Raw genomic sequence first — 22,650 nt, 5'->3', positions numbered from 1 at the left:
GGAAGGACACACTGTAGGGCATGGTGTGATCCTGGACAAGTGTTAGGAGGGCCCTTCCATCAGTGATATGTGTACTTTTTCCTGCTGTGAAAGCTAATTGTCGCTGTCTTATTATTTTACAGGCCAAGGAGGTAGCAGAGCAAACTCTGGGATCTGGGTTAGATTCCTTTGAGTTGATTCCGTTTAAGGCAGCCCTGCGGTAAGCAATGGCTGATATTTTTTATAAGGAATTTTTTTTCTTCGTTTTGGAATATTCTTTTTTCCCTTATAATTTAGATTTCATCTCCCCTTTGAGAAATGTTTCAGTAAAATAATGGGATGTGTGAAGGAGAATCATTCATGATTCAGCCTTCACTTAGAAGCCAAAGAGCCAAAGATGCAGGAACTGTTTGAGAAAGTCACACACATGTTCTGAGGTTAGAATGCAGGGCAGATTAACACCAGCATCACAGGAGATTTGACAAGCCTGGGTTCCAAGGCTAGAAAGGCAAAGCTGGGTACCTGAATGGTGAGGTTTCTAGGGGCAGAGGGCCCTGGGCACAGGAAGATAGTCACTGCTTAGAAGAAACTTGCACTGGGCCTCATCTGTCTCTTGAATGACAGAAACCCTGAGCCTGGCCGTGTCCTGGGGTCTGCATCATCTGAGAATCTGGTGATTTTTCCATCACATCTCCCAGCATGTCACGGTGGTTGTTATCCATAGCTAAATCTTCATGAACCCAGTCCACTTAACCACTGTTTCACGTGAGGACCATTATGTGCACTTTTATACAAAGGATACAAAAGACACCAATACTGGGGAATTTATTTAAGAATACTTCTAGGATGTGTCCTGTGATGCCTCAGGTCTATGTCCCACATTTTCTTAAATCTATAGTCCTGTGTAATAAGAGAGAGTATTTGAAAGATTAGTCAATTAATTGGTCTAACAAAAAGAATTCTATTTCTGCAGCCCCAGGAGTGGAAGAAAGAGCCAGAACTCTGTGGTGCAGGGCTTTAGACTTGCTTCAGGTCTTCTTTCCCCTGGGTCTTCTGGATCTTGCTGCCCTGGCCATGAAAGGGAAAGGATAAAGGAAGTTTGTTCCCTTAAGACCTTGTGCTGCCCTGTGCTATCTGTTTCTGGCCAACCTGAATTTGAGAACGCTTCTTCAGTTTGCATCTGTGTGACCTTGGGCAAGATAGGAACTGTCTGTATCTGCTCCTTCAGCTACCCACCTTGTAAAGCAGTTGGGCACATAGATGTTAGCTGCTGTCACAGTGGGGTATTCTCTTACCATCAATATGGCTGGCATAGTCATTCTACTTCTCCTTTACTTGGGCCCTTGCCTAGGCCACTCAGCCTCCCCAGAGCAGGCCCCCTCTCAGTCCCAAGGCCTCCTAGGCCTAGGTGTCTGCCCTAGCTGGAGAAAGGCACAAGAAGAAAACACCAGTCAATGGGAGAAAAGTCCCCCAGGCCAGTCTTCCACCTAGAGCCCCTCCCCTTTCTCACCACAAAGATTGCTTCACTGAGGGCGGGGCGCAGTGGCTCACGCCTGTAATCTTAACACTTTGGGAGGCCAAGACAGGCGATCACTTGAGGTCAGGAGTTCAAGACCATCCTGACCAACATGGCAAAACCCCGCCTTCATTAAAAATGCAAAAATTAGCCAGGCATGATGGTACACACCTGTAGTCCCAGCTATTGGGGAGGCTGAAGCAGGAGAATCGCTTGAACCCAGGAGGTGGAGGTTGCAGTGAGTCGAGATTGCGCCACTGCACTCCAGCCTGGGTGACAGAATGAGACTCTGTCTCAAAAAAAAAAAAAAAAAAAAAAAAAGATTACTTCACTGAGGACCCTCAAACTGCTTCAGGTTAGCAGATCTCTTTCTCCCAAGAGGGGAAGGAGTGGGAGCCATGAATGCAGACAGTAATTAGTGTGTAGCTATCTAGTATGTGTTAATGCAAGAGATTACACTTACACAAGTTAGAGTAAGCTGAAAGGGTTTTCTAGTTATTTCTCAACTCTGAAGGCCTCACCCATGGCTCCACAGCATTTGACTGTGAGTTGCAGAGACGTGGCCTCTGCTTGCGCTCAGAGCAGGGATGGAGGGTCATTCTCAGTCTGCAGTGAGCAGCAGTCCTCTCATGTCATTTTCTCCTGTTGTGGTCCAAGAGTCAAGACCGTCCTTAGGACTTGCACAGAGGCAGGGCTGTGATTAGAGTCAGATTCTGGCCTCATACCTGCTGGTGGTGTGGGACCCTGGGGAAAGTATCCAAAATAGGGTAAATCTGTGTAAAGCAAGGATGACACACACCTCACTGTGTGGCCTTGAGAATCCCAAGCAGGTACCCTGCACAGGTATCTGAGGAGCAGGAGCAGACTGATTTTTCTTTTGTTTTGTTTCTGGTCTACAGCTCCAAGATGACTTTTCATATACATGCTGTGAATAATCAGGGAAGGTGCGTATATGATTGTGGTGCATCCTTACATGGAGCAAGTTTTAGGAAGATAAAGAGAGGGGAGGCTGCTGACATGAGTGGTTTTCTCATGCTTCCACACCTAGCAGTGACATCACTCCAGGGTTGGGCTTGGGCTGGCTGTGCTCAGCTGAGCCCCTGTACCCTGAGTGCTTCCCACTGCAGAGCTGAGGGGCAGAGGTGGGGATGGACATACTCACCTTAGTGGCCCACATACCAATTCTACAGACATGCAACCCAGTGTTTTGAAAGGCCCTAAGAGCAATCCGAATCTATGACTTGTCATTGCCAAGTTGAAAAAAGCAAACACTGTAAATTTAAGTACACTTAAAAACTCTTTAACATAGTCTTCCATCTCTTTCCCCTCCTAGAATTGTACCGCTGGACAGTGAAGATAGCTTATCCTTTGTGAAGACGGTAAGCAGAGCTATCATGGGTCAGCTGGCTGGGAATGGCCTGTAGAGGGACATCTGTAAGTTGGGAGGTGGGAGTGGGTGGGGGTCTTGGGCAGCCCACCCCACCTGAAGAAGCTGATCTTCTCTCAGTCCTATCCCAGCCATAGCAGGGGTGAGCCTGTGTTTACTGAAGGTACCCAGGTAGCTGTGCTAGGCCCACCCACATCTATTCTCCCTTGCCTAGGCTTCCCCAGTGTCCAGAGTCTTAACTGAGGTGTTGGGAGGCACCTCTTTCTGGGTTATGAAGCCTTCCTACAGGTAGCTGAGATTGCTCTTGTCGAAATGTGAATCCAGGACAAGCTTGCCTTGACTAACAGACTAAGTTTTTCAGTGGCATCTTTGAGTTCCAAGACTTGCATTGATGTCCTTAACAGGAACCTAGAGTTGAGACCAGTCTTGACAGCGTAGTGAGACCCCGTGTCTAAAAAAAAAAATTTTTTTAATTAGGCAGGTGTGGTGGCATGCACCTGTAGCCCGACCTCCTCAGGAGGCTGAGGCAGGAGGATCACTTGAGTCCAGGAGTTTGAGACTGCAGTGAACTGTGATTGCACCACTGCACTCCAGCCTGGATGACAGAGTGAGATTTAGTCTCAGAAAACAAACAAACAAAAACAGGGAACCTGAGAAAATTAACTACAGTCCTGTACCACAAAAGGACATCTTGGTCAACAGTGGACTGCAGATACAACAGTGGTCCCATAATATCATAATACTGTATTTTTACCCACCATTTCTATGTGTAGATATGCCTAAATTCACAAATATTACCATCATGTTATAATTGCCTACAGTATTCAGTATAGTAACATGCTGTACGGGTTTGTAGCCTAGGAGCAATAGACTATACCAGCTAGCCTAGGTGTATAGTAGGCTACACCATCTAGGTTTAAGTACACTCTACAATGTTCACACAGTGATGAAATCAGCTAATGATGCATTTCTCAGAATGTATCCCTGTCATTAAGTGATACATGACTATAATTATTTAAATGGCCAATAATCAACAGGGACCTGGGTCTGCCATGAAGTAGAGTAGTCAGAGCAACGTTTTCCAACCTGTGTGCTGGGGGCATGGTTTGGAGATGCACTGAGATAATGGTCCCTGGGGTGGGATGGCATGGCGAAGGGGAGCCAGAGTTTCTAGGCCAGTTGTTCTCAGCCACAAGCTGAGTCCTCCCTTTACCCCAGAACATCCTGATGTGAAGAAGATTGGCAAATGGTACATGAGAGGGTAGTACATATCTAGCCAAGATTCTGTTTGTGGTGTGTGTTATATCTTGAGTCTGTTCTGTGACCACTGCCTGAGCCTTAGTTTGAAAAAGCTTTGGTCCCAGGGAACTGGGTGAGCAGCACCCAGTGGATAATTTGGTACAAGCGCATCCCCATCACCATCACCTGTGGAAAAGTAACTCAAAAGTTCCTGTCAGTAGTGTTAACCTATCTACAGAGAATAGCACAACAAGGGTAATTTTTTTAAGGTTGTAATTTATGTTTTTATAATGTTCCTGGTCCCCATCTGTCAACATTTTGTGTGGATGTTCTTTTAGAACTAGTTTAGACTTTTTTGTGATATCATTAAAACATTGGGAAATACTTTCTGATATTTAGGTGATAATACTTTATCTCCTTGTTAGACTTTAAATCCCTGACTTCTCTCCTTAGACTCTTGAGCAGTGCTTTGGAAGATGCTTTGCATAGTAGCAGGTGATTAGGAATCCAGTAAAATCATAGTCTTGCGTCAAGTATGCACAGCTAATGAGATAGGAAATAAGAGGCAGGAAGTTGATGCTTTTTGTCTACATTCTGTCCTCTTATCCAGAGATGAAGTTCTATATCCTCCCCAAAGCCTTCCCTGTTGATTTCTCCCTACAAGTATTCCTATAGTCCTTGCAGTTGCAGTTTGTACTACACAAATTAAGAAATAATTATATCCTAATGTGTCATATGATATCATAATGTGTCATATGATGACCTTCATATAAGAATGCCCTTGTTTCTCCAGCTATACATTATAGATTTCCTGAAGACAGGCACCATGCTGTATTTTTTCTTTCCCCGTGCCACATGGTGGGAAGTACATAACAAGTGTCCAACAAATGCTACATGTTATCTTTTTAATATCCTCTCTTCCCTTCCTCAATACCAGTGGCCAAATATGAACATGAAGGATCAGGAACCCCCAGGATCTGTCCACCTGATTGGTCTGGGAACCAAAGACATAGGATTGCCATTGTCACTTAAGAGGGACCATGTAGCTCAGGAGGGTTCTGTGTCTTCAGATGCTCGAAATCCTTTGAGACAGCTTTAGATAAACCTTCCAGTTGTCAAACCTGAAAGGAAAGTTAATTCAAATATAGACGCCTACTTGTCTCTTTTGTATATCCTATTATCATAATAATATGGAAAATTAAGGGCTTTGGCCTTAACTGTGGTTTTTTTCCTTTCAACCTTGTGGCCTCTTTAAGTTTTTATTTGAAAATTCAGCAATCCGTTCAAGAGCCTCAGATCTTTTGTCTCTGTCCTAAGGGGTGGGACAGGCGTCCCAGGCTAGGACGACAATATGTGAAAGTGGACTTAGGAGATCTGCACCAGCACCCACCGCTCACTACTATTCAGGGTAGGAGGGGACAGGTCCTTGTGCTACTTATCCCATGTCCCTCATCAGATCTTCCTGGTCATCACAGACTCTAGCTCTAGCTAACATCATTTTCTCTTTCTTCTGCTGGCTTCTTCCCGGAATTGTTTCATTTTCACTAGTTTTTACCTAATAAATTAGGGCTTTCTTACCAGACATTTGGGAGCTCTCTGAGTTGTTCTAATTTTGTTTCCAGGCTACTGAAGCCTCAGCTTTTATTTGTCTTGGCCATAAAAGCTTGATAGCTTTCTTGCTTTTTTTTTTTTTTTTTTTTTTTTTTTGAGACGGGGTCTCGGTCCGTTGCCCAGGCTGGAGTGCAGTGGCATGATCATAGATCACTGCAGCCTCAACCTCCTGGGCTCAAACAATCCTCCTGCCTTAGCCTCCTGAATAACAGAGACCACAGGCAGACGCCACCATGCCTGGCTATTTTTTTTTCTTTTTTTTTTTTTTTTTTTTTTGAGACAGAGTCTTGCTCTGTTGCCCAGGCTGGAGTTCAGTGGCGCGATCTCAGCTCACTGCAGCCTCCACCTCCCAGGTTCAAGCAATTCTCCTGCCTCAGCCTCCCAAGTAGCTGGGATTACAGGCACACGCCACCATGCCTGGCTAATTTTTTTTTGTATTTTTAGTAGAGATGGGGTTTCACCATGTTGCCCAGGCTAGTCTCAAACTCCTGGGCTCAAGTGATCCACCCGCCTCAACCTCCCAAAGTGTTGGGATTATGGGCATGAGTCATTATGCCTAGCCTAATTTTTTCTTTAGTAGAGTGGGGATCTCACTGTGTTGTTCAGGGTGGTCTCAAACTCCTGGGTTCCTTGACCTCCCAAATTACTGGGATTACAGGCATGAGCCACTGTGCCTAGTCAGCATAAAGCAATTTGAGGGAATATACGGAAACATAAGGATACTTTCCTTATAGCCCAAGGGTGTCTCTGATCAGGGAGCAATTTCAGGGAAGCCTGGGTGATCCTAAAGTCACCTCCCAGTTCAAAGATGTATTTAGGATAACTCCAGTTTTCCCTAGAAACTCTTCAGTACTCTTTTGCCATGTTCCTTTAGGCAGTATTTGTGGTCTCATTCTTATGGACTTCTCTGAAAGTTTTGGGCTGGTAACTGATCTAACTGGTTTCTCATTCAATGCAGGCTTGTATGGCCGTCTATGACATTCCTGACTTACTGGGAGGCAATGGTTGTTTAGGATCTGTGGTTTTCTCTGAATCATTTTTGACTTCTCAGATCTTAGTTAAAGAAAAGGGTAAGTATATGTGATCTTTAGAAAGCAAACCTTAAGCCTTTTTTTTTTTTTTTTGGCAAAATAAACTATAAACTAAGGCAAAAGGCCAACAATAAACTGGTAAAAATATTAGAACTGATGATCACAGCACTGCACTCCAGCCTCAGTGACACAGTGAGACCCCGTATCAAAAAAAAAAAAAAAAGAGAAACATTAAAGATGAACAAAGGGTGTATAACCTAATTTATGAAGAACTCTTCCAAAATTAATAAGAAAAGATAAGCTACCCAATAGTAAAATGAGCAAAAAAAATGAACAGGCACTTCACAGACGTGGAAAACAAAAAAGAGAGGAGGACTATTTATAAATGAAGATATGTAATCTCACTAGTAGTCAAGAAGAAGCAACTTGAAGGCTGGGCGTGGTGGTTCATGCCTGTAATCCCAGCACTTTGGGAGCCCAAGGTGGGCGAATCACTTGAGGTCAGGAGTTTGAGACCAGCCTGGCCAACATGGTGAAACCCCATCTCTACTAAAAATACAAAAATTAGCCGGGCATGGTGGTGGGTGCCTGTAATCCCAATTACTCGGGAAGCTGAGGCAGGAGAATCACTTGAACCTAGGAGGCGGAGGTTGCATTGAGCTGAGGTCGCACCACTGCACTCCAGCCTGGGTGACAGAGTGAGACTCTGTCTCAAAAAAAAGCAATTTGAAACAGTAATTAGATATTATTTTTTTACCTGTTAGGTTGGCAAAATATTCTAAAGATTTATTATATTCTAAGGAATGAAAATATTCTAAAGAATGGTAGAATGAGCCTGATAATTCTCTTTGATCTTTAATATGTATACCTATACTACCTTGATAAAAATTAAAAAGTAGTGGTAAAATGGACTAATTCCCAAAAGTTTTGTTTCTTGGTTTTGGGGTTTTTTTTTTTTTTTTTTTTTGAGACAAGGTCTTGCTCTGTCACCCAGGCTGGAGTGTGGTGGCATAATCTCGGTTCACTGCAACCTCCACCTCCTGGGCTCAAGCGATTTTCCCACCTCAGCCTCCCAAGTAGCAGGGACCACAGATGCGCCACCACACCTGGCTAATTTTTCATATTTTTTGTAGAGACGGGGTTTTGCCATGTTGCCTGCAATCCCAACACTTTGGGAGGCTGGGGCTGGCAGATCACCTGAGGTCAGGAATTTGAGACCAGCCTAGCTAGCATGACAAAATTCCATCTCTACTAAAAATACAAAAATTAGCCCGGCATGGTGGCACGCATCTGTAATCCCAGCTATTCGGGAGGATGAGTCAAGAGAGTTGCTTGAACTTGCTAGGCAGAGGTTGCAGTGAGCCGAGATGGCGCCACTGCACTCCAGCCTGGGTGACAGAACAAGATTCTGTCTCAAAAAAAAAAAAAAAAAAAAAAGAACCCTAGCTCCTGAGAAGGGCATTTAGGGTCTGGGGCCTGCAAGGCAGGCTGAGCTGGTAGGGAATTAACTGGCATGTGTGTGGTGTTCCTGCAGATGGCACTGTTACCACAGAAACCAGCTCCGTAGTCCTGACTGCTGCTGTACCCAGATTCTGCTCCTGGCTGGTTAGTGTCATTCATCAGGTGGAAGTGGACCTACGTGTGGAGAAATCAGGGTGAACACTTGAGGAAGAGCCTCTTTGTTGGGCCCCTGGTGGGATGTCAGGTCCTGAACTAGCTGTTGTTCAGGAATGGAATTTTTGATCCCAGCCCTTTCTCTTTATACAAATGAACATAGTTCCGTTAACTCTCATAATCTTAGAAAAGTTTCAAAAGAAAGGAACAAAGTTACGTGGGTCACTGTTAAATTAGGAAAGGAAGAAATTAAGAGCCTCATTTTACAAATGAGGAAACTGAGCTTAGGAGTTGAACGGCCCGGCCAAGGTCACACAAATCATGAGAAGTGGATCCCGTGACTTGCTTCCCTGGTAGAGTGGTTGCTACGGAGTTTTTACTGCAACATCTCTCTGCTAGTAGAAAAGTCCCATCTTCCGCAGTGGGAGGGACTTGGTCTGAAACTGGGGCCTTGGAATGTAAAAGGTGTGACAGCAGTTAGTCTGCTAATGGGCTGAGTCCCTTCTTGAGAGTGCTCACATTCTGCTTCTACAGTTCCCACACAGACAGGGAAGACCGAGAGTTATCCTCTAACCTAAACGTGTTTAAATCTGAAAATATTTTAATACATTATCTTTGCTTCATCCCTAAAAACAGTTGTTTTTTTCTGAAGTGAAATACAGGTGGAGACTAACACATCCCCTCTGCTTGTCATAAGCTCATTAGCTGGACCTCAGGTCCTAGTGAGAGAGCCCACCAAGGCCTTGGGCTCTGAGCCCAGGTGACCAGCAGACATCTCAGGTGTGTCAGGGCCTGAGAGCACTGGACATGGACATGGTGGAAGGACTGTCCAGCCAGTGTCCTGGAAATATTTGAACACAGTGGGGAGACCTAGCAGGGTTTTCCCTTGAAGTAGTTGACTGAAAATCTGCATTCCTTTTGGACACAGGTGGAAGATAATGAAGTAAAATTGTCTGAGAAAACCCAGCAAGCAGTGAGGGTAAGCAGCCTTCTTATTCTCAGTGTGAACATTATATCAAAAAATAATGTAAGCAATTCATAAAGGTATTAAAATGCTTCATCTCACTACTAATCTAAAAGACTTGCACTATGTTGTCTTCACTTCCTATTTGCATTCCTCCCCTTCCCAGCAGAGCTTTAGAAATAACCATTTATGGGGGATACAATTAGAGGGATTCTTTATTCCATCAGGGCCTTCTGGTGTTCTTTTAAAAATCTCCCCATAATATTAAAAGCAGATCCCAGATTGGCCTAGACATGTAGAGCTGAGACATCAAGGCTTTAGGCCAAGGAGAAGCTGCCTCTGTTTTCACAAAGGAAATAAATCCACTGGAACATGAACAAGCATTGCGGGCTTTGATGCCTGGACTCAGAGAGAATCTTAATGTTCTTTTTCTCAGCACAAATCAAGGATGCCAGTAACTGCCAAAGAGCCAGACAATGCCAAAGGCCATGGAATACATTGGGCATATCTGAGCCTGACTCAGCTTTTGTAGACGGACATAATTGGGCAGGACTTTTGATTCTGTGAATATTTATGCTATAAATCACCTATTCTTTTTTGGATTTTTGTTTTTGTTGTTGTTTTTAAAGGGGGATGAGTCTTTCCTGGGCACTTATCTAACAGGAGGAGAAGGAGCATATCTTTATTCCAGCAATCTACAGTCCTGGCCTGAGGAAGGTAAGGAGCTATGACTTTAATGTTTTTGGCCATGTCTGGGTCCCTCATTTGCAGATGTCAGCATGGGTGTTGTAATTAATAATACATCTTCTATTTGAACACAATTGTGGTACAGAAATGTTTTCCTACAGCTTTTCTCTCGACCCACCCACTTTGTAGATGAGGAAATTTATGCTAGGAAGGGCTGATCACAGAACTGTACCTGGTCCTTTTGTTGCTGCCTGAGGTTAGTTAGCTCTCTCAATGGGCTAGGGCAGCAGCATTTCCAGAAATAGAATTTGTGGACCTAAACAGAAGCTGGATTCATTTCTCTTGCTGTGTAACAAATGACCACAAATTTAGTAGCTTAAAACAACACCCTCTTATTATCTCACAGTTCTCCAGGTCAGAAGTTCAGGCAGGCTTGGCTGGACCCAGATCTCTTGAGGTCAAAATCAAGGCATCAGCCAGGCTAGGCTCTTATCTAGAGCCTCTGGGGAAGAATCTTCTCCCAATCTCAGCAAGGATGTTGTTTCCTTTCGCTTGTAGGAATGAGGTCCCCATTTTGTTGGTGGCTGTCAGACAGGGATCCTCTCAGCTCCTCCTCCCAGAAGTCCTTGCTCTTGTGACCCCCTCCATCTCAGCTATAAAGAACCTTCTTGTATTGAATCTCTCACACACTTTGAGTCTCTCTAATTCCTCTTCGGCTATCAGCATGTCAAGTTTTTGCCTATCCCAGCCCACCCTCTGCCCCCCATAATTCATGTCCCTTGTTACCTCCTCCCAAGGGTCTCATCCCATTATGGCTACAGTTCAAAGTCCTAAATCTCATGGGCTTAAATATCTAAAATCTCATGATCAAGCTCATCTAAGTCCCATGTAAATGAGGCTTGGGAGTGTAATCTGTCTACAGCTCCTGAACATAGTTCTCTCCATGTCTGTGGACCTACGAAACTAAAGAGACAAGTCATCTGCCTGCAGCCCTCCCAACATGCAAGGTGGGACTGGCATAGACTTCAGGTTCACAAAGAGGAAAAACAGAAGGTAAAAAGGAGTCACCAGCCCATGGCAGCTTTGAAATTCAGCTGGGCAGACTTCAGTTCCTTGATAAGGTTTCAAGGCCTGGGAATAATTCTGGCTCTCAGCTCTGCCTCGGTGCTCTTGGTTCTACCCTGTTTGCTCTTGGTTTGCTCTGGGCTCATGGCTCCACCCTCTGAGCTTATAGCTACACCGCTGTCATCCTTCCTTTTTCAGTGAAAGGTAGTACTTTGTTTGTAGCTGAGCAGTTTTAACAGCCTGCCTCTTGCCAGTAGAATTTTGAGGGTCCAACAGTCTCCTTCAATTTTATATGTTATCTGTCCCTTTCAATCCAAACTGGCAGTGTTTCTGCTCATATGAAATCCTCAAAAACCTTGTTGGTCTTGCATGGATTTTACAGGGATTTACTGCAAGTTCCTCTTTGGCTTCCTCAAAATAACATTTTCTTATGACTCCTGTTCTTTCCCTGTTGAATATAGCCTTTATGTGAGGGAGGAGTTCTGACTTACTCTACAAATTCCTCAACCTCTACTAAGCAAATCCCCTTTCTGGATGATTTGTTCTTCTTGTTGAAAATATTCTATCCGGTGGCAAATTCCTCTCCCTGTTCTCAGATCACTGGTTCAGCTTCTGCCCCTTCATTCACACAGAAGACAAAGCACAAGGAGTTCTGGTTTTCTATCCACATACTGCTGGAGTGGTAATGGCATTTGTTAACACATCTGTCCCTGCACTTCTGCCTCTCCAGATCCTGGTGCAGAGAACCCAGGAGTTAAGAACATTTGCTGAAGGCAGGGAGTATGTGGTAATACTACCAGCCTTGAGGCAAGATTGCATAGTGTTTTGAAAGCAGATTGTAGGCACAACACAGAGGTGGTTTGTGCTGTGTCATCCTTGAGCCAATTATAATATTTAGCCGGGATATTTGCCAAAATTAGTTTGCACCTTCTTAGCAGAGGGCCTTGTTAGAAAAATAGTCTTGCATTGTATTGAGTTATCCAGCAAGATTCAGTGTATCCTAAGGTCTCTGTGCAAGATAAAGGGCACAGCCAGGGATTTCTGGAGGCTTATTAGTCATAGTCTTTTGATAACTTAAATTTTAAACTTTCTTTGTTGCTGAGGGGAATCTAGTTTGAATTAGGAGATGGTTTTCTGAGGCAGGGAAATTGAATAGAAGCAGAGAATTTAAACAGGAGTCTCCCCTTCCTGTGGATAAGCATTTTACCACTTTGGGATTCAGATCAGGAGCTGATGTAGGTTTTGTGGGGCTTGAAGTTTGTACCATTTGTGGACTCTCTTGAGGAAAATACTACAAAATGATTAGGGCTCTTCTTAGAGCCTTAGAAGGGGACTTGGGCAGGTAAGGGGTCCTGAAGTTCAAGTGTCTTTAGTGTCTTTGTCTTTATAAATCTGCCTTTACTTGGGACTGTGATGAGTTTGAAATTTATCTGTTCCCATCCCCTGAAGGTACTTATCTTCAGCTCCTCAGGATGCATTATCTTTATTGATCTTCATATCCTGAGTCCCATAGAAGGTGAAAACTCGCCTGATGTTGTGCAAGTTGTTATTTTTTCCATACTTTTTTTTTTTTAAAGCCCCCTCACCCTGACTGAGATGTAGTACAAGTTAATGGCAGCATCTAGAGGGTAGTCCAGGTCTGGAGGATAGTACAGGTCTTCTGATTTTTCACCCAGCAATTACTTACAGATGAAAAGAATAGTACTTCCTGGCAGGGTGTGGTGGCTCATGCCTGTAATCCCAGAACTTTGGGAGGCCAAGGCGGGCGAATCACCTGAAGTCGGGAGTTCGAGACCAGCCTGACCAACATGGAGAAACCCCGTCTCTACTAACACTACAAAATTAGCCAGGCGTGGTGACGCATGCCTGTAATCCCAGCTACTCGGGAGGCTGAGGCAGGAGAATCGCTTGAACCTGGGAGGCAGAGGTTGTGGTGGGCCAAGATTGTGCCATTGCACTCCAGCCTGGGCAACAAGAATGATCTCTGTCTCAAAAAAAAAAAGAAAAAAAAGAAAAAAGAGAATAGTGCTTCCTTTACCTTGAAGTTTTTTTCAGCTCTAGAACTGTTTCTCTTCACCAGTTAGTGGTGTCTGCTATCACAAGATGTCTTGCTTTTCAACTTCCCATTCATTCGTGTCCTTCATGTGCCCTTCTCTTCCCCGCCCTGCTGTCTGTGGCCAGGCAGGCTGCCCAGTACCTAATCCTCAGGAACCTGCTTTAGAGTTTTACCACACATGCCTATATACCTAGACAATATCTTATTTTGAACTTAATACAAATAGAATCATAATGTAGACCTGCTTTTTTTGCTCAGTATTCCTAGGATTCATCCAGTTTGTTGTATGTAAGCCATATAGCTTACTCATTTTCATGGCCCTATAGTATTCCTTTGTATGAACATGCAGTATCATTTTGACTCTTTGTGGACATGTGAGTTATAGTTTTTGTGCTAGGTGCAGTGGCTTGTGCCTGTAATCCCAGCTTCTCAGGAGGCTGAAGTGGGAGGATCACTTGAAGCTAGGAGTTCAAGACCAGCCTGGGCAACAGAGTGAGACTCTTGTTTCTACAAAAGAATTTTTTAAATTAGCCAGCATCTGTAATCCCAGCACTTTGGGAGGCTGAGGCAGGAGGATTGCTTGAGCCCACAGTTCAAGACCAGTGAGACCCCATCTCTACCCAAAAAAAAAAAATTAGCCAGGCATGGTGGCATATTCCTGTAGTCCCATCTACTTGGAAGGCTGAGACTGGAGGGTGGCTTGAGCCCAGGAGTTCAAGGCTGCAGTAAGCTATGATCTCACCACTGTACTCCAGCCTGGTTGACAGAGCAAGACCCTAACTCTAAAAAATAAATAAGTAAATATAGGCTTTTTTTGGTATTGCAGACTGTACTGTTATGAGCATTCTTGTGCATGTCTCTTGGTCCACATGGGCAAATGTTTCTGTAGGGTTGGAATGAAGAGTAAAAATTTGGAATTTTAGTATGAGCCCACATATGGCTTTTTTTGATGAGGCCAGACTGTTTTACAAATTGATTGTCCCAAATTATACTTCCAGCAGCAGCATACAGGTATTTGAGTTTTTCCATATTCTGGCCAACACTTGCTGTTTTGCCAGTTTTGCCACTGTGGTGAGTGTGCAGTGCTGTTATTATTAGGATTTTAATTTACATTTCTCTTATTATTAGTGAACCGTCTTTATTTATTGGCCAAGCTATTATACTTCCCTTCTGTTAAATGCTTGTTCTTGTTTTTTGCTCATGTTTCTTTTAGATTGCCTTTTTCTTGTTTATTTTAGGAATTTTTTTTTTTTTCTTGAGACTAAGTCTCACTCTGTTGTCCAGGCTGGAGTGCAGTGGCGCAATCTCAGCTCACTGCAGCCTCTACCTCCCAGGTTCAAGCAATTCTCATGCCTCAGCCTCCCGAGTAGCTGGGACTACAGGCGTGCACCATCAGGCCCAGCTAATTTTTGTATTTTTAATAGAGACGGGGTTTCGCCATGTTGGCCAAGCTGGTCTTGAACTCCTGACCTCAGGTCATCTGCCCACCTCGGCCTCTCAAAGTGCTGGGATTACAGGCGTGACCCACTGCGCCTGGCCTATTTTAGGAATTCTTTCTTTCTTTCTTTCTTTCTTTCTTTCTTTCTTTCTTTCTTTCTTTCTTTCTTTTTCTTTCTCTTTCCTTTCTTTCTTTCCTTTTCTTTTTTCTTTTCTTTCTTTCCTTTCTTTCTCTTTCTTTCTCTCTCTCTCTCTCTGTTTCTCTCTCTTTCTCTCGATCATTAGTTCGTTTGTTCATCTTTCTTTTCTTTCTTGATGGAGTTTCACTCTTGTTGCCTGGGCTAGAGTGCAATGGCACGATCTTGGCTCACTGCAACCTCTGCCTCCCAGGTTTAAGCGATTCCCCTGCCTCAGCCTCCCGAGTAGCTGGGATTACAGACATGCACCACCATGCCCGGCTAATTTTGTGTTTTTAGTAGAGGTAGGGTTTCTCTATGTCGGTCAGGCTGGTCTCAATCTCCCGACTTCAGGTGATCTGCCTGCCACAGCCTCCCAAAGTTCTGGGATTACACGTGAGCCACTGCGCCCAGCCAGGAATTCTTTATAGATTTTGGATACTAATTCTTTGTCAATTCAGTATATTGCAAATATTTTCTTTCACCTGGTGGCTTGTCTTTTTATTTTATTTCTGATGCTTTTTCATGAATAAAAGTTCTTAGTTTTAATGTAATCAGGATAATTAATCATTTCCTATGTGATTCATATATTTTAGATCTATTGAGACTTTTCTGTTGAATTATAAAAATATAATTTTTCAAAGAATCCACCTGGATTGCTCTGTGAAAGTGATATGAGATAGAAGTCTAAGTTCATTTTTTAAATGTAGGTAGCCACCTGTCTCAGCAAAGTTATTGAAAAATCATTGTTTTCCCACTGATCGGCAGTGCCAGCTTTGTTATAAATCAAGTCTCTTTATGTGTGCATCTATTAATAGGCTCTCTGTTCTGTTCCATTGGGAAAGAAAATAACACATTGTCTTATTTTAGATAGATAACATATTTCTATATGGTGACTTAGTCTGCTTGGGATGCCATAACAAAATACCACAGAGTGAGTGGATTAACAGTAGGAATTTATTTCTCACAGTCTGGAGGCTGAGAAAATTATAACACTATACTAAAAGGCATTAAAAATGACATAAACACACATCCCATTCATGGACTGGAAAACTCAGGTTTACTTACTTGACATGGTAAAAATGACAATTCTCTCCAAAGTGATCTTTAAATTTAACATAATTTCAGGAAAAAAAAAACCAACAAGTTTTTTGAAAATCCTGAAAAGCCAACATAAAAATGTCAATAACTTTGAGCAAAGTGCTAAGAACAGCCAAGATACTCCTGAAGAAGAAAAACAAGGTGGGAACTTGCCTTATCACATTAGAGACTGAATGTTTGTGTCCTCTCCAAAATTCCAGTGTTGAAGCCTTAACCCCAAAAGTGATGTTATCTGGAGATGGGGCTTTTGGAAGGAAATAGGGGTTAGATGAGGTCATGAATGTGGGACAAGGTCTGTTGGGATGTGGTGCCCTTATAAGAGCTACCAGAGAGCTTAGCCCCTACCATGTATGCATGGAGGAGGAGTCATGTGGGCATGTGGCACCACACCTGGCTAATTTTTTTTTTTTTTTAGTAGAGATGGAGTTTCACCATGTTGGCTAGGCTGGTCTCAAACTCCAGGCCTCACGTGAAGCTCCCACCTCAGTCTCCCAAAGTGCTGGGATTACAGGCGTGAGCCACTGTACCTGGCTGGAGGGAGCCACCGCACCTGGCTGGAGGGACACTTTAAAAATGAAGGTTTTGGTCTGGCACGGTGGCTCACACCTGTAATCCCAGCACTTTGGAAGGCCGAGGCGGGCAGGTCACCTGAGGTCAGGAGTTCGAGACTAGCCTGGCCAGCGTGGTGAAACCCCATCTCTACTAAAAATACAAAAATTAGCTGGACCGTGGTGGCGCATGCCTGTAATCCCAGCTACTTGGGAGGCTGAGGCACAAGAATCACTTGAACCTGGGAGGCGGAGATTGCAGTGAGCAGAGATGGCACCACTGCACTCCAGCCAAGGCAACAGAGTGAGACTCCATCTCAAAAAAAAAAAAAAAAAAAGTAAAGTTTTGTACAGCACTGAGCATGAAGGAACTGTATAGCTGCATATTACTTGTAACATAGGTCACATTCAGGAACAGAATGTCAGGAGAAGTAAGCAAGTCACAGAAGAATACATGATTAGGATTTCATTTATATAAAAACACAGACAAAACTAAGTAATACACAGTTTACAAATACATTCAAGTGTGGTAAAACCATCCAGAATTCAGGATGCTGTTCCCCCTGGGTGGAAGAGAAGGGCTCTCATTGAGGAAGGACATCCAGGGGGTTTCAACGGTGCTAGTAATGCTCAATTTCTTAGGCCCAGTGGTGAGTTCATAGACATCTGGGTTTTGTAGTTGTTGCTTTAGTTTTTTTTTTTTTTTTTTTTTAAACCTTGTGTGTACATTTCACACACATTTATAGACACAGGATGAAAATCATCTAGCCATTGCATCATAAATTTCCCCAGCAGTGATAAATGTTCCCTCCTCACATAGACTGGGCTGTTGGAAGATTTTTATTTGTACAGCCAGTTTTCTGAAAGAGGAAAGCGAAATTCTTCTTTGGCATTTGCTTGGTATTTTGGTTTACCCTGAGGGCCCATCCCTCTTTTGTTGGACTTCCAGGGATACAGAGCTCAATCAAAGACAACCAAACTGCAGTCCTCCTGGTTTTGGGACAATAATGGGAAACTTCCTCTTATCCTGGGTTTTCAGACTTACAGAATGGAGAAGGAAGGACAGAGTTCATCCACTAAGGACACCAAGGATGGCACAAAGAGTCAGGGAGATCTCCTCAGGAGTTGGCTGCCCTGGCCCCTGTGAACCCCTGCAAAGGTATGGCCCTCAGACCACTGTCTGACAGTCAAGAGTCCAGAGCAGATACCAGAAGGGTTATTGCTTCAAGCAGATGAGGATCTGAGACCAGAGCACAGGCACTGGGCCACCCAGTAAGTCACTTCACTTATCTCATGTGTGCTCTGAGAATAATGGCAGAGTTACTGCTCATAGAGCCAGGCTAAGGGGCAGCTGCGATCACAGGACAGATCACAGGACAGTACTGAAATCAGATCCTGTTTACTGAGACCTTGCCTTGGCTCATGCCCCATAATGAGCTCTTCCAGCACTGTCTTGTGAATTTGTCTTCCTCTTTTCCATTTTGTTTTGAGGCTTCAGAGTCTAGTGGGAGAGGAAATGCTGGAGATGACCTCGCTCATCCTTTCCCATCTTCCTATTGAGTAAATGGAATGTGCCAGCTTCTCCAATCTGTGCTTTTTTCTGGAAGCTTCAGGATTTTGAGCTTTGTCCAGGAGGCCTTTCAAGTGGCACTGGACTTGTTTCTAAAAAGGTTCACTTCAAAAGTACAAATGTAGAGGGATACCCAGGACAGGGAAGGGTGCAGGTACTAACCACTCAGCAGCAGGAGCAGTTTCTACCTCGTGACACCTATGGAGCCCTCTTATCTCTGGAAACAGTAAGTAGAGTCATCTTGTGGCAGGAGTTGGTGGGGTTGTGGTTTTAGGAGAGTGTTGAAGGTCTGGGATGAGCTCTGTGGGCTGATGGAAGGAGTGGGGAGACAGCAGTGAACAGGCTACGGGGCAGCACTGTGGCCTGTTGTGGTTGAGGGAGCAGAGAAGGCACATCTACAGATTCACCACAGCTGGGCTTTGGACAGGGGAGAATTGAAAGAAAAAAAACATGAGAGAACTGAAGGCACCAGCATGGTATAGTGTCTTTGGCATCAGACAAACCTGTGTTCTGTACCTGGCTCCACCACCAAGTAATGCTGTGATTTTGGGGGAAATCTCTCTAAGCTTGAGTTTTCTCATCTGTCCTATGAGAAAAAATAATACCACCTGTTACAATTGTGAAAACAGAAAACTATAATGTATGACATGTGTGGTGCTTAGTAAATACTGCGTGAAACCTGTTCCCATTCCTTTCTTTTAACAGAACAAAGATTAAAGGTTAAGTCCTGTCCCAGAGGATCTGCCCTTGATGTGGATGAGAAGAATATCAGAAATTTCTGAGCAATAGGGGAAAATGCGAATACCAATGACTGTGAAGGCTCAGTGACATCAGAGGATGGGGTGTGGGGAGGGAAACAGCTAAAAGGGGGATGGGGTGCTGGAGTCAGAGAGTAGTTGCTGGGCTGGAGATTTCAGAAGTCATGACATTCTGGGTGCAGCTTTACTGCTCTAAGAAGGAATGGGAGTGTTGGCATTGGAAGGGAAGACTGAGCACATTCAGAGTGATTTGAAATATGGCATGGTCAGGAGGGCAGTAGGTGTGAGCAGTAGAGGGAGGGGCTTGTGTCTCTAGGGGAATGAAAGTAACATGCTGTGGTGTTGGGGAGACTGGCCTGGGAGCAGCATGGAGGAACTTTAGGGTTGGTACAGGATGAGGCTGGGGCATGATTAGCCTCCTTTTCAGAGGGCCTCAGGAAAAGGCAGTGTGCACAGAAAGCCAGGCTACTTGTTGGAGGGTAGAGGTTTCCAGAGCTTGAACCTAGATAGTCGCTGGCTGTGGCTGCCACAGATGGTAAGGTTGGCATGTCCCTCTGACGGGGCATCTGGTTCTTCCATGAGAGGCAGGTGCCAGTTCTTCTTCTTGTACCTAAAAACTGCCTCCTTCTCCCTTCACTTCTCCTGTCCCCTGTGAACACATACTAACTAGGCCCCTCCCTTCCTTCTGAAACCTCACCTCCTCAGGAAGCCCTCAAAGCTTGCAGTCTCCAGATTCCTCACCCAGGATGTGAAGGCAGCCCTCAGACTCCTGGCCTTTGCTATTCTTGTCATTCCAGCCTCCAGAGCTTTGCACTGCTTTTCTGGAGCTACAACTTAAGGAATCAATTTCACTTATTTATCTCTTGGCCTTTGCCTTGGCAGTGAGGTCTTAATGACAATAAACTCAAACCTGTGCCTTGAGCTTTAAGAACTACTTCATCTCCCTCTATATGCGGAAACATGGAAAGAAAAGCTGTTACAGGAATAGAAGATTCAGCTTGGACCAGCCCCAGAGAGCAGCTTCACCTAGGAGTCTTATGGGTGCTTTGGGTGCTGCTTTTGTGTCTCCAAAGCAAGCCCAGGCCCAGCATTAATCTTTGTCATCTTAGTTGTCCATCTTTTCCATGGTCTGCTCCCTAGGGCCTATACTGAGCTGCTCCATATGACCTTGACCATCCAGGAAACAACAGCTCTCCTTAGACCTGAATCCTTGTTCCGAGGAACCCACATCCATGTCCACCTGTCACCCATCTTGCTTTTGTGAACTACAGAAGAGCAGCCCCCCAGTGTCTGTAGAACTTACTCATTACCTAACTCAAATGTTCTGTTGCTGGGCACAGGGACCTTAAGCTCCCTTCACCAGTCTTCAGCTGAGACCCAAGTGCTCCTTCTCGGGCCCTAAGTGAGGGATGTGGTCTCTTTAGGGCCGAGCCAGCTTCTGGCAAAGCAGAAGAAAGGAAAATCTGTAAACTCAGTAATGGAGCAGATATACCCAAAGTCTTTTTTAGTGTGTTTCCGTGGAAGATACCCATAAGGTAATGTGAATTTTGCTTCTCCCCATTAGCTGATAGTTTATTCACTTGTTTTTCTAATTCTTATGCAAAGACTGCATCTGATGCCTCATTTCCCTCTGAGGCTTTGGGAGGTTACTTTGGCTTCCTCAGAGCACAGGGCTCAGCATACAAATCGCATAACGTAATTGCTACTGATACTGGCCTCTAGTTACCACACTGCTGTACAAGAGGACATTGGAATCTGACCCCCAGCACCCAGCCCTCCAGCTCTGACCAACTCTCTTTTCCTTCCAGGGAATGTTCATTTCTTCTCTAGTGGCCTTCTGTTTTCTCACTGTCGTCATAGAAGTATCATCATTTCCAAGGATCACATGAATTCCATTTCCTTCTATGATGGGGTAGGTGTTTTACTAGTCAGTGGCTTTTTTGGTCGGAAAGTTGCTCACACTTTTGAGGGGAAAACTAAATAACTCCTTTCTCCCCTCCACTACCACAGGGCAGTATGTCAGGAACCAGCACAGCCACTGAGGCAGGCAGGGAGGGAGGTCGTGGAGAGGCCTGGGCATTCTCAAGACGCTTACGAGCCTCATCAACCTCACTGCTCTGTAAAGGGCTTACCTAGAAAGGGCTTCTGGTCAGAAGGGCCAGCAGCTCCCCATGCCCAATTCATTCACCCTAAAGAGGACTATAAAGCAGGCTGAGAAGGCCTCCAGTGGCCCCTCTTGGGTGGCCTCCAGGTCCAGGGGCTCAAGGCTCACCCACTGAAAAATCAGAAAGGAGCTGCATCCTGTGGTATTGATGAGGCTCAGCATACACATTAGCATGGACAGGATTGTAAGTGAGCCAGAGAGGGAGAGAAATGGCTCACTTTCCCCGTGAGAGTTTAGCCCCTCCTCCCTCACACACCCAGACTTCCTCTCCAGCTCCATAAAAGTTCCACTGTCCTATAACAATCCTCTAAGTTCACCAGTCTGCACCAACACTTCCCATTCACCTTAAGGGGAAGATGGTAGCTATGGGTTTCCCCTAGCCTTTACCCTGTGGCCAAGGCACAGCTCGTCTCAGTGCAACACCAGAGCAGAGGGCAGGCCCACCACTCTGCCTGGTCTCAGCCTCAAAACCAGTCTGTCTGGGAGCTAGGACAGAGACTATGTGAGGTATTTTGGTCAGATGGCTCAGAAAACGAATTCTGTGAGCAAGTTTTTCTTCCATATAGAGCCTGCAGCCTTAAAGGCTGTTCAGAAATGTAGGCAGACCAATTGGACACATTGGATGGCCCTATTAGATTAAAGTGTTGCTGTTAGATTAAAGAGTCTTCCAATATCAGGGAAGAAAGAATGCATCATGAAAAGCACAGTACTGGGATGATAAGTAGCTAATTTCGACAAAAAATAGACTCTTACCTCTACTAAAAATCAAAATGAACTTCTGAGGGATTAAAATTAAATATATTTAAATTTCACAAATAGAATATAAAAATGAATATTTATTAAACCTCTAGGGGTTAGAAGACTTCTGAAGCTTAGAAACAATACAAGAAATTCTAAAGGAAAAGTTTGTCAAATTTGACCAGTTACTGATTTTTTTTTTTTTTTTGAGACAGAGTCTCGCTCTGTTGCCCAGGCTGGAGTGCAGTGGTGCGATCTCGACTCACTGCAAGCTCTGCCTCCCTGGTTCACGCCATTCTCCCGCGTCAGCCTCCTGAGTAGCTGAGACTACAGGCGCCTGCCACCACGCCCGGCTAATTTTGTTTTTGTATTTTTAGTAGAGACGGGGTTTCACTATGTTAGCCAGGACAGTCTCGATCTCCTGACCTCGTGATCCACTCACCTCGGCCTCCCAAAGTGCTGGGATTACAGGCATGAGCCACCACACCCAGCTGACCAGTTACTGATTTTTAAAAATTTTATGCTGATAATTTAACTTATTAAAGTATACTGTAAATACAACTAACTGTATCCATTTAAAGGTTTGGCAGATGTGTACATTCATGAAACCACCTTTACTATCAAACCAAAATGTTTTCTCATGCCCTTTTTCATCTTTCCCTCCACTCCTGGGTTCAGACAACCACTGATTAGCTTTTGTCCCTATATATTAGTTTGCATTTTCTAGAATGTTATATAAATGAACATCATCTATTCTGTAACCTTTGAGTCTGACATTTTCCACTCAACATAGTGATTTTTAGATTCATCCATGTTGTGTATGTAAATAGCTGTGTTCTCTTTATTGCTAAGTAGTATTCCATTGTATGGGTATATCATAAAATTTGTCAGACTAATTAGTAATGCAAAAACCCTTTAAAAAGTATTTTAGGGGATGGGGAGGGGTAGATCGATGAATACAAAGTTAGAAAGGATGAGTAAATTCTAGTGTTCTGTTGCACAGTAGGGT

General features: G+C 44.2%; 1 protein-coding gene across 5 annotated transcripts in view; it reads left to right on the top strand.

The window, feature by feature from the left end:
• Positions 1-22,650, top strand: part of DNAAF9 (dynein axonemal assembly factor 9) — a 158,364-nt gene that overhangs the window by 82,579 nt on the left and 53,135 nt on the right. For 3 of the 5 annotated variants that reach the window (XM_005260684.5, NM_001009984.3, XM_047440081.1), the window contains exons 14-21: positions 123-199; positions 2,395-2,439; positions 2,829-2,874; positions 6,691-6,802; positions 8,298-8,368; positions 9,306-9,356; positions 9,971-10,058; positions 20,548-20,651. In XM_005260684.5, coding sequence (XP_005260741.1) covers positions 123-199; positions 2,395-2,439; positions 2,829-2,874; positions 6,691-6,802; positions 8,298-8,368; positions 9,306-9,356; positions 9,971-10,058; positions 20,548-20,651 — 594 coding nt within the window. Of the gene's footprint in view, positions 1-122; positions 200-2,394; positions 2,440-2,828; positions 2,875-6,690; positions 6,803-8,297; positions 8,369-9,305; positions 9,357-9,970; positions 10,059-17,453; positions 17,571-17,889; positions 18,208-20,547; positions 20,652-22,650 lie in introns of those variants that run through there. The other 2 variants (XM_011529208.4, XM_005260687.6) reach the window with 2 other exon arrangements.

This window comes from Homo sapiens, chromosome 20 (assembly GCF_000001405.40).
Source record: "Homo sapiens chromosome 20, GRCh38.p14 Primary Assembly".
Taxonomy (NCBI): Eukaryota; Metazoa; Chordata; class Mammalia; order Primates; family Hominidae; genus Homo; species Homo sapiens.
Note: the sequence above shows the minus strand (reverse complement) of the source record. Positions and strands in the feature narration are given on the sequence as shown.